The sequence below is a fragment of the Homo sapiens genome, chromosome 1 (genome assembly GCF_000001405.40).
Source record: "Homo sapiens chromosome 1, GRCh38.p14 Primary Assembly".
Taxonomy (NCBI): Eukaryota; Metazoa; Chordata; class Mammalia; order Primates; family Hominidae; genus Homo; species Homo sapiens.
The window spans coordinates 183,802,194-183,814,437 of record NC_000001.11 but is presented as its reverse complement, the minus strand read 5'-3'; the positions used below and the strand labels follow the sequence as shown (position 1 = coordinate 183,814,437).

General features: G+C 41.2%; 1 protein-coding gene across 13 annotated transcripts in view, besides 2 other annotated features; it reads right to left on the bottom strand.

The window, feature by feature from the left end:
- RGL1 (ral guanine nucleotide dissociation stimulator like 1) overlaps positions 1-12,244 on the bottom strand; it is a 292,424-nt gene that overhangs the window by 114,095 nt on the left and 166,085 nt on the right. For 6 of the 13 annotated variants that reach the window (XM_011509339.4, XM_047415682.1, NM_015149.6 and 3 more), the window contains one exon: positions 7,953-8,063. The exons of 4 other annotated variants lie outside the window; for them this stretch is intronic. In XM_011509339.4, coding sequence (XP_011507641.1) covers positions 7,953-8,063 — 111 coding nt within the window. Of the gene's footprint in view, positions 1-7,952; positions 8,064-9,113; positions 9,319-12,244 lie in introns of those variants that run through there. 3 more of the 13 variants (NM_001297671.3, XM_017000756.3, NM_001297672.3) reach the window with 1 other exon arrangement.
- Positions 6,846-6,895: an enhancer, noted in NCBI's record as "active region_2223". NCBI's record gives its function as "activates an Ori minimal core promoter by ATAC-STARR-seq in GM12878 lymphoblastoid cells {active_cell/tissue: GM12878}" and the evidence as "EXISTENCE:reporter gene assay evidence [ECO:0000049][PMID:35858748]".
- Positions 7,639-7,698: an enhancer, noted in NCBI's record as "active region_2222". NCBI's record gives its function as "activates an Ori minimal core promoter by ATAC-STARR-seq in GM12878 lymphoblastoid cells {active_cell/tissue: GM12878}" and the evidence as "EXISTENCE:reporter gene assay evidence [ECO:0000049][PMID:35858748]".

Below are 12,244 nucleotides of genomic sequence, written 5' to 3'. Positions count from 1 at the left end.
AGTTTAAAAAAGATCTAGAACCACCAGCAACACCCCACCCCCAACCACCACCACTGTTATCCTCAGAAGTCATACGCCACATAACATAAAGGAGAAGGTGGTTTTGAGGAAACAAGCCAAGCAGAGGCCCAAAGCATTGGGAAACATATGCAGTCACATCAGTGGAAAGACACAGGTATTTCTACAATGACAAGACAAAAGGATCAGTGGGAAATGACATGATTCTCTCTCTCTCTCTCTGTATGAGACTAACTGAGCTTCCTACAAGGTGGTGTCTTCTACCCAATGTTGTAAGCTTGTTCTACTTTTAGTCCTTCCTTTCTTCCTCTGTTTTTATTCCTTTTTAAACTAAAAGCAGTTCTCTGAGTAAAGTCAATCAAACAATCTCAATAATGACACAATTAAGGGAAATCAAGCAAAACATGACAAAATCAAGCTTTGATCAATTATATAGAAGAGGCCATAAGTGACATTATAAGGTGAACCAAATCCTAAAAAATAAAATGTGAAAAGACATTTTAATATATAGGCTGTGTGTGTATTTAAGTGAGAGAGTGAGTGAGACTGAGAGGAGGTAGCAGTAAACTAGGGAAGCATTCTATCTTACTGAAATTTTTCTTTTATACAAGGAGTGAGAATTAGCAATCAGAGTGAGCCTTTAAGAACAGCAATGTCAGCTGCTAGGATAAAGAGTATCAGACAGAATTTAAACACATTGTGTAGGAAGATGGAAAAAGACCAGGACACCTAACCATAAAATTTCTTGTGTCCCTAACAACACAATTATAAGTTTAACTGCTGTTTTCTAAAATACAACTCTGTAATCATAGTCCTGCAGGTTCCATATTTATTCTCTCTCCATGGTCTTCAGATTCAATTTGTTTGGTTTGTAGGGAAACAGAAGACTTTAAAAAAAGAAAGGAAGAAAGAAAAAGAAACCACCAACTCTGCAAAGTTCTCTGGAATCTGAGAAGTCAAGCAGGGCTTCTGCCTTGTTCATGGTGAGCCTAAACTGTGATTTCGTCTCTAGACATGACACATCAGGCATGCCTGGATCTGGTTTTTCTGCCAAGCCTTCTGACAGTAACGCAGGCATTTGCTAGTGTATATGGAGGAAGGCTGACTTGAAGTCCCCAGTACATTTCACCCAGTGAGAAGAGGACAACACTGACTCCAGAAAGCCTTTTGCTGACCTGCTCTTTGAAACCAGTGTGCCTGCCAGGAATCCTCGCCCTGTGCCCCGCCTACACTCATCCCCACCTACCTTGTCCACTCTGCCGCCACAGCTTCAGTCAGGTCCTCATCCCTTTCTTCACTTCATTACCACTAAAGAAAGCCTCCTCCTGGGTCCCCATGCTCCAGTCTGGCTCCCTTCCGATGCATCTCCCCTGCAGCTGTCAGTCATTGTTCTAAAATGCAAATCTGACCATGCCACTCTGCTTAAAACTCTTCAATGACTATGCTAACATTAAAGATGAAGCAGATTCCATAGCTTAGCATTCCAGGTTCTTGGTGACATGACTCATGCCTTTCTCTCCAGCCCCCTTTCCTCTCCCTTTCCCACCGGGTTCCCTTATCTCTTCCCCAGGCTGAGCCTCACAGGGGAAGTCTCATTTCAGGCCTCCACACCTTCCCACAGGCTGTGCTCTCTAGTTGGAATGCTGGCCCCCAGCGTCCCAGCCCTCATTTAACTCTCACTCATCCGTCACTTCTCCACTGAAGGGCCCTCTCCTCTGTGCAGGCTTCCTGGACTGCCCACCTGTCACTCGCATTTGATTTAAATGCCCCTGATTCTGGGCTCCCCTAGCAATGGTCACACTTGCCACAATATATTGTAATTAATTCAACTTTGTCTCCCTCACTTACTTGTAAGTTCCTCTAGAACAAGGAGTATTTTACTTTGTATTCTCAAGATTTAACATGGTGTCTGGCATAAAGCAGGCTTTTGATGAATAAATGAATGGTATGGAAGGAGAGTTTAGCAGGCTCAAATGCAAATGACAGAATCATATAGAAATATGCAACAGCAGCGAGGGAGTTCACACTGGATGTGTTTACTAGCAAATGACCCAGAAACTGCCAAAATCTCCAAAGAACTCCAAATCAACTCTACGTCTTGAGATAGCCACACCCATTGGCAACCCAGACACAGAGCTGAGCTTCTCTGGTGGAATGAAGTAACATTTCTTATCTTCCCCCACTTAACCAAAACTTTTCTTGCTCTGTTTATAGAAACTAATTTTTTATGTAAAAAGAATATGATGGTACAAATTAGAATGTTTTACTATGTAGTGCATTTTTGCATATCTTAACATAAAATACGTAAGACAGTCAAAAAATTCTGATTATTTAGAAGGGGGAAGCTTAAAGAGACACATATACCATGGGCAAAGGAAACTAAAGGGAGTGGAATTGGGCAGTGACAAATTCCAGCTAAGCTCTAAAGTGGAAAGGCACAGTATTTACCTTATTTCTCTCATTTTCTTTCTAAGAGTAAAACTCCAAGAGGCTTTTTCTTTATGATTTCACAGAAATAAGAATAAAATATGTTCATAAAATTGTTTTAACAGAATATACACTTTTAAGTATAAGGAATTAATGTGCCTCTTATATTTATGCCATTATGTATTTGCTGGGAGTTGACATGTATTTTGAACTCAGCTGAGTATTCCCTGGATTGGTGAATTGAAATGGATATTCTTGATTACATGTCACATATTCCTAACACAGATCCCAACAGAATTTGAAAGCACTAGCACCAAAAGGATCCAGTGTAATAATATCTCAGGCAATTTAAATTTACTAAATTTTCTTGATTGGTAGAGGCTACCCTATCAGTGGATTAATAATTTTAAAAACGTGTTTCTAAGGTCAAAATTAAAAATACCAGTTGGTTCATTTACACATAGCTGCTAAATTCTGAAATCTACTTTCTAAAGCCTAAATTAAACATTCCAATAGACACATATAATGCAACCCAAGGGCCTGTTTTCCTAGATGAAAACAAGGATGACCAACTATAAACTAAAGGCTCCTCTAGGGCTTATCTCCTTACAATTCTAAAATCCCACTCCTGCACTTTCCAACCACACATAATTGTAATGCTAGCCAATGCTTTTTAACTCATGCATTGCCTTTTTTTTCTTCAACATTCAGCAGCAAGAGAAGTACAACTGGACCTCTTGGTTTTAAAAGGCACTGGGGAATGTTCGTTAAAATGAATAATTGATACCTTTGTGCCCTGCTTTGTTCTCGAATGGGTGTAAGACAGCTATAATCATTACCTAATTGATTTTTCTTGCTCCCATGCCCCTTTCTTCTTCTTTGTAAGTGAACATCTTCATGTAGACTTTGTTTTAAATGAGAACCAACTATGCATTCATACTTATAAAAACAATATTAGTCCCCCAAAGAAGGATGAGGCATGACCTATTCATTCAACAAACATGTATTGAGTTTCTGCCAACTAGATGGCCATGGTTGCAAGCTTACAGTCTAATGGAAGATAACAAACAAGTAAACAGGCAATTACAACAGAGTGAGGTAAATGCACAACAGTGAGACGCAGAATGCCTCTGGAGCACACAGAAGGGACGCCTCATCCAGAGCTGGGGGATTAGAGAAGGCTCCCAGAAGTGAAATTAGCTGAAAACTCCAGGAACTGTATGCCATTTGAAGGCAACATGGATAGCAACACCATGAAAATGCCAGGTAGAGTCAATCTAAATAGAACATCCAAGTGAGAGTCAACTTCTCAATCCAGATGTGACAAATGGTTATCTTACCACAGTCCCCACATAACCCATGATTGGCCACAATTTGCCCAAATGCCACGTTCTATGACCTAATGTTTCTAGGTTCTTTTATTTCTACATATATTCAACTTTCTCCATTCTATTTCCCTCTCTTTACCAGACTCCCATCTATCTTGCATTTCAACTCAGTCCCACAAACATTTATCAAGAGCCTATGTGGGAAACGGTGTGACAAACACTGGACACAGGGCAGAAAGGCCTCAGTGCCCCACCACAAGGACTGCATGACCACAGAAGTACAGGACTAAGAAGAGCCACGTGACTAACCACTGATCATTCCACTGCCCACAAATTTTGCAGAAGTGACCTAGCACTCACAATCTTGCTTGTAAAAAAAATATCCTCACTTGGAACTTATCTTAGGCTGACATGTTTTTTGGACCCTGAGTCTGTCATATTCTGAAGACAACAGCATGAACTTCTGACACCAAAGCCCTTCCCAAACAGTTGAATTCTTTTCCTCTGTCCCTTTGAGTATTCATCCTGAAATGTTACACTTCCTGCTTCCAGAGGATACTGATATTTTCTTAACTCTTTTCTATATTATTCACTGTCCATATACAACCACAACACTGGGACCAAAGACAAATAACAAGTTTTGACACTTTGCTCTTCCAAAAATCACAAGATAAGTGAATGTCTGGGTGAAATTACTTCTTTTTTTAAGAGACAGAGTCTCACTCTCTCACTCAGGCTAGAGTGCAGTGGTGCAATCATGGCTCGCTACAGCCTTGACCACCCTGGCTCACGCGATCCTCCCACCTCAGCCTCCCAAGTAGCTGGGACTACAGGCACACACCACCACACTCAGCTAATTTTTTAATTTTATTTTTATTTTTAGTAGAGACAGGGTCTTGCTATGTTGCCCAGGCTGGTCTTGAGCTCCCAGCCTCAAGCAAATTAGCCTGCCTTGGCCTCTCAAAGTGCTGGGATTACAAGAATGAGCCACTGTGCTAGGCTCGGAATTGCTCTTTAATGTCTCTTCCAATCCTAAGATTTTTTAAATTTTGTGACATAATTGAAGTCATTTTTCTTCGAGAATTATAGGTGGGTAAAATTATCCCAGCCAAAGATGTTATTGTAAAGGGAAAATGGGTCAGTATTTCAATAATATTTGGTTTTTCAAAGTTGCCAATATAATCTCACCGTCAATGGGCAAGGATGCAGCTGCACGTACAAGTAAACTGGGCCTGGGACATACTTGGTTGTAGTTTTCCAAACACAGAGTTTTACTTTAAAAGATCAACTGAACACAGAATTTAACAGACAAAATAAAAAAGAATGACCTAAATGTTTTGGACTGTATAATACTTCACATCTGAGGATATGTAATTATTTTGCTCTCCTCCCCAAAATTGAATCTTAATTATGTTTTGAGATCTGAATACTAGAAAATACAAAAATTATGTTCCATCTTTTAGGCATCTGGAATAAGCATTACAGACACGTAACAAAGCTATGCCTATCCTCACATGCTACATAACCTCATACGTATCTTCATATCTTCAATGCACCCTGCTTTAAACCTCCAAAATGGGGAGTTTATCAGTGAGATCATAGCTTCGCAACAAATATCTCAATTTGCAGCTCAAGTTATCATTCTAGACATGAAGAAAAGAAAGTTACATCTCTCCAGTCTTGCAACATTAGGGAAAAGCACACCCAAAGCATCCTCAGTCTTTTGAGCCAATGTTCTTTTCTACTACTATGGAAACAGCCTTAAGGTCCCAGGAAATTCTTCACAACAAAGAGCCAACCATCTGGATTTGAATCTGGTGTTTACCACTTCATAGCTGTGTGACCCTGGCAAACAATTTAACCTCTCTGGGCATTAGTCTCCTCATGTTAAAAAAAAAAAAAAGAGAGAGAGAGAGATCATCACAACACCACCTTCCTCAGAAGGTTGTTGTCATATTGCAATAATTTCCTCACCTGACCCCACTCTCTAGTAACTCTGAAACTAGTTACTTTGAAGAATTTTGAAAGGGTACTGGAATACAGGAAAACAAACATGGGGAAGCCACTCAGTTCTAAAGAGAAAGGTTTGTAATTGCTATGGCTCAATGGGTTGAGTCACATTTAATTAAGTCTGGAATTTTCAAGGACAAAAACAGAACTTCCCAACAGGACACCTAAGACAAGAAAACACGTAGATTAGAGCTGGAGAGCCCCTAGGAACTTGCAATAAAGGAGTAGGCTGGTAGCAGTAAATCACACTTTGTTGAAATGGGGGCGAGGGGGACAGATTCCTCCATCAACTAGAGCCAATCTTTTCACATTATCCTCCTTCTCAGTATTTCATATCTACTGTTGAATCCAGGGTGAATTAACTCTGAACTCTGTATAAATTTGAGAACACTGAGAGAAGGGAGAGAGAAGAAAAGAAGTGAAGTCTAGTGAAGAGAACAGTCAGTGGGGATTACTAAATAACTCTGAGCATCTAAATACATGACAGTTTGTAGATGTGGGGCCTACAGAGTGAACCCCTCCATTTCCAATGACTTACTCATAACTAATGTTGTATATGGCTGAAAACTAAAACAGTCACCCAAGCAAAGTCAGTCTCATTAGAAAGAGAGGAATAACCTGATACCAAAAAAATGTAATGACCCTTTTGAAGACAACTGGTTCAGAAGTTGTGAATCATTCTGAAATAGCTAGAGGCCAAACCACATGGACGCCACATTTAAATAAAATACATACACACAACCACCAAAAACAAAGTGATGACTTGTCAGAACTCTAGTTCTGCTTTCCCTATCAGGTCTGCTAGTGATATACATAATTAATTTTAAAATCATATTCTGAGTAAGGTAGGTACTTGGTAAGTGAAGACCTCTAGTTCTCACTGGAAAGCTCCTATCTTTCCAGACCACACCTGCAGATGTCATTAACAATTTCTGGCCCTCATGGGTGATACCTTGGCCCAAAGTACAGTAGCAGGAAAGGCCTGAGCTGAAGCAGCTGGGGAAGCCCAAAGCAATGAATGCCTGTGTCAGCAGACTCATGGCAGAGGAAGTGATTGCTGCCGGCCATGGGCCACCATCCTGCCTTAAACTCCCTGGAGTTACAAGTCACACGTTACCACTACTCTTAACAGGAGGCCCTGTGCAATTTTGTGTCCTATCCTCCTTCACACTCCACCTTTGAATGCTGCTCAAAATATTCTGAATTTTCAGAGACTCCAAGCCGCTAAAGATGGGATGCAAGTGCATAAATCTTCAACACTCTGAAGCCCATCGGCTAAAATAAGGCCAGCCAGGTGAAATCACACTCCACCCCCTCTATTCAGCCAACCATTATTTTCTTTCTCAAGGCTTTTTGGGTCGCCTCTCACCGCCTGGTCTGAGAACTACTTCTCCTTCCAGATCAAGAATCCCTTCATTCTTCCACATGTTTGACATTTGCCCAAGTAGTGATCCTGTCGCTGAGCTTTCCATTTCTCATATTCGCTTTATTTGGGATGTGTTGAAGGATCTACTAGGTGATACCTACAAACTTGCATGACCTCACCCAATATTTTACAATCTCAGTGGAAAAGAGTCCTGTTTACAGAAGCAGCATTTTTCCAAAGGCCCACCACTCTACACACAAAGTAGTGGGTACTAAGCATCCATTTGCCTCCTCCCAAGATATAGAAAAGAGATCACAATAGGAAATCTACCACCCCTCAAAGGATGCAGACTTGGAATGCTCTGTCTCCTGAGCAATCTGGGTACCTCCTAGAGATATAGGAGCAAGGCAGACGCTGACAGCATCAATTGGGGGAGGGCAGAGAGAGACAAGGGTGGCTTCTGGGCAAAGCTGCTTATGGCTCTTGTCTAAGAGAGTGCTGCTCTCTGGGCCTGTATTCTGTGTGTCATTTTCTGCCACTCCACCCCCAATCTATTTGCCAAAGACCTCAAGATGTTTCTAAGAGGTTCTGAATTATTGACAAACCTAGGGAAGATGCTTTTGAAAACATTAAATACAAAAAGAGACCTGTTCAGCTAGTGCAAACACTTGGTCATTAGCATTTTCCTTTTTAAAGCGAAAAGAGGAAAAAAAAAAAAGCCTGCCTCTGTTAAATAATAATGATATTCACAGAACGACAGACACTGAAATTCCAAAGTTCACCATCTCGCCAGCTTTACTCACCCCTAGCCATCTTGCTCCTTTATTGGCAGCCTGTTGAATCTGGACTCTTTTGAGGGTGACATGGTAAACAGCTCCTTCCTCTACCTCTTCACCCCAGTCCTGAATCGAGCTCTGCCAGGGACGGGATAAAGAGAAAGAAAAAGAGTATTTTTTTCCTCTCTGCTAACCACAATCTATCCCAGCTGCCTTGCTGCTTACAACAGCACTCAGGGCACAAGATGGGCTGTTCAAAATAAATATTACAATCCGCAATACAAGACACATTTTGATAGAGGGAATGCTGAGATTTTCTTGGCTTGCAGTCCCTTCCTGTGGTATCAGGATCCCCTGACTTTTCCATTTAGTTATTTCTCCTAGACTTGCTCACATATCTTAAATAGTTTTGTTTTGAAGTCTTTCTTTTTCTTTACAAAGAAACTAGATTAGTCCTGATTAACTTGTCCCCCTTAAGTGAAAGGAAAAATAATTCTTTGTAAAAAAAAAAAAAAAAAAAAAAAAAAAAAAAAAAAAAAAAGAAAAGAAAAGAAAAAGAAAAAGAAAAAAAGAAAAGAATAAGTCTGTACTTTTTAGAGTGGCTCGGTCATTGAAGAAACCAGATTTTAAACTCAGACACAAACAAGTGTTTAAAACGCCAAGAGTCCTCACTCCTTTGGAAGTGAAGTGGTTTGCTTGTCTTTTCTCCTCATTGTTTTGGAGCCCACAAAGTTAGCGGGGGTGGAAAGTTTTTATTTCCGTAAAATAATCTGGCAAGTGCAGAAAAAGCAACACATCATCAGGCAGCTTCTACTAAAATCTGTGCAGCGACCCCCTGGATTTCCATGTCCCCAGCTAAACCTGAGGTTTGTGTTAAAGAGCCGCTGGGACGCAGAAGCGCTCCGCGGTTCACCCACACTAACAGTTCTTTTTCCTTCAAAGTTCTCCCCTCCTGACATGCATCTGCCCCAGACACACCACAGGCAATTGCTGAGAAAGTAGGTACGGTTGAAAGGGAGAAGACACGCAGAGAGAGAGGAATACAAAGCGGAGTGAGAGAGCTTTAGCTCACAAGTATGGAATCGGATTGCTCCGTTCACTCCGAGGGAGTCCAAAACACGCCCAGCGAAAGCGGGAGAAGATTCCCCACCAGAGAAGCCTCGGGAGAAGGCAGAGAGCTCTCGTTACCATTTTAGCTTGCCAAAGCAATTTCATTCTCAGTTTTCTCTCCGGTGCGCGAACGCTGCATGATGCGCCCTGCTCGGAGGCCAACGCAATGTCTGCTGGGCTCAGCCCCGCGGCGCCTCGCCCCGGTCCCGGTCCCGAGCGACCGCAGCGCACAGACACGCGCCGCGCTGCCCCCGCCGCCGCCGGTGCGCGCGACTCGGGCCACAAAGGGAGCGCGGCGAGCGAGCGAGCAAGCGAGGAGCAGACTCCTCCCCACGCCACTCCGTGATGTAAGGCTTTCCTGTTTGTGCTTGTGAGCACACTCTCCCTTTCTTCAGTCCCATGGATAAAGTCAGCATGAAAGCGTTTCTCCAGTTCTGAAGGTGATTGGGAAACAACACTTTCAAGTTTATCAGGTTTTCCTGACGGTCACCAGGTGCCAAAATAGAACTGAGTGTGGGATGGAGGATTTGTGTGTGTCTTCTTCCTTCGCTAAAACAATGGAAGGAGAAAGTCCAAAAAACTTCCATTATCTGCCTATTATCTATTTTGATTTTAGAATAATTAAGTCAGAATGACCCCAGTGAGAGCCGCAATACTAGACGCCAGGAAGTTTTTCATTAGGACAGAGGATAAGGTCAGAGGACACCCGGGTATTCCAAAACCATGCCCAGGGGCTATACCCTCTCCTGCATCAGCACACTGCCAACAGGAAATCGCGCTGGGCTTTTCACCACCCCAATTACCCAGTAACTGGCCATTGGGGGTGGGAAGGGAACAAAGCAGGGTAAGGTTTTGCTAGGACTGACAGTGTCCTGGAGGTTCTGTGAGTCTTTGTGAGTAGCCACCATGGGTTGAGTTGCCTGTACTGTAGGGACACAGTAGGATCATAGCCACAGGGAAAAGTTCTTCATCAGATGACTACCAGCAGGAGTTTTATCATAATGGAAAGATCTGCTATAGGGATAAAAGATTATTACATTTTTTTAGATCCAGTTTTAACAAGTCAACAGCAAGAGATACCAGATAATGCAGTCAAACTTGACACCTGCCAGAATTCCATGCAAATTGCAAATACCTTTAGGGCTCATGTCTTTCATACTATTCACCCTAAATGAATTTAATCACCTTCAAATAAAAAAAAAAATAGGTCTCCCACTAATTGCCATACTATGACATAAGCCTGGGTTTTGGTTAATGGTAAATATATCATGAGCTGACAATTTAGCAAATCAAGTGTACTGATGTTCCCAGGAGAGCAGAATAAATGACAGCAAGGGCACATTAAGCAAAAACAAAAGGATCTGTGGACACTTGAGAACATCTACAAGTCATTCAGCCAGGTTATCCCCATACAACCAGAACCTAAGGGCACCATCACTGTATAGAGAGGAGATGCCCTTTTAGCAAGCTGAAGTGGTTGTTCTATAATTTAAAAAACAAACGAACGAAAAACACATAGACTAAATCCTTCTATGATGATCAGGGCAGAATGTTGCTGGGAACCAGAGGAAAATCATGTGAAGGCCCTACCTCCCTGCTTGTTAAGCCATCCTCAGGAACCCAGGCCCACCTCTAGAGGACCTATTAGGTGATCTTGGACACCACGAAATGCAACTGAGGACAGTTAAACAACCTGTAAGATTAACTTCACCACTACTTTAACCTGATTTTTGGCTACACATTTGGCAGTAACTGAAATATTTCCATTTCAGGGATATTAAGCAGTTTCTTCAACCTCACTCTCCCAGGAAACCTTCCTGGACAGGGCGGCTTAAATTCACAAGGCCCCACTCAGGTTTCAGAGCTACTCACCTTTCTCTGTACTCCAATTCCCTGGCTGGCCACCTAGTGTGTAAAGGGAAAAGAACTAGCTTCAAGCCAAGTGGATACAGCTTCACATCCAGCCTTGCAGTGAGTGAACCTGAATGCTACTACCCTGAGCCTTAATTTCCTCATCTGCAAAATGGGACAACCATCTACCTGAAAGAGTTTGAAAGAGATCAAATGAAATAATGCATGCAAATCATCAAGCACATGGTAAGTGATCCAAAAAAATTCCACTGCCTCCTTATTGTACTTCCTCCCAAACCATATTTATCCAGACTCAGTGAAAAGCGTGTTATGTATGCAACACTAGGAAATCTGAAATGATGTCTTCTCATGGAATTACTTTAAAATTTCAGAGAGGTTTTCCAAGAATAACTATTTGTATTTACACCTCACAATGTATGTAATTTTGTACAAATGCTGTTCTGCAAAAAAAGAGGCAGACTTTATGCTAGATAGAGCAATTGTGTGTTGCAGTTTACAAATTTTTTAATATTCATTTAAAAATATTTCATCAGTAGGCAGTTCAGTCCATATTACCTTATTACCTGTACCTTTGGGTTAAAGTACTCCTGGTCAATATGTGGGAAGACAAACCAGTAAGCCATTTATAACTCAGTTGGTGTTTATTTACCACATTAGCCTTCCCGTGACCTAACAGAGTCCTGAGAGGATAGGTTAAGTTTTGTTAAAAGATCAGGAATGTTTTGTAGTTTTTAGAGAGCAAGACTTGCATCTCTTTGGTTCAGTTTATTCCAAGGTACTTTATTCTGATACTATTGTAAATGGGATTGCTTTGTAAATTTCACTTTTAGATTGTTTGTTGTTAGTATATAGAAACACATTAATTCTTTATTTTGCAATTGACTGAATTTGTTTATTAGTTTATAAGGGTTTTTTTTTTTTTTTTTTTTTGCTGATACACCTAAATAGAAAGACATCCCGTGTTTACGGGTTGAAAGACTTAATATGTTAAAATGTCCATATTATCCAAAACTTTCTGCATATTCAATGCAATCCCTTCCGAAATCCCAAGTGTATTTTTGACAGAAATAGCAAAAATAACCTTAAAATTCAAATGGAACTACGAAGGATCCTGAATAATCAAAGCAATCTTGAAAAAGAAGAGTAAAGCTGGAGATCTCATGCTTCTTGATTTGAAAACATATTACAAAGCCACAGTAATCAAAACTTTATGGTACCGGCATAAAGACAGACACACAGATCAATGGAACAGAACAGAAAGCCCAGAAATAAACCCAAGCATATGTGGTCAACTGATCTTCAATAAGGATGCCAAGAATATACAACAAGGAAAAGAT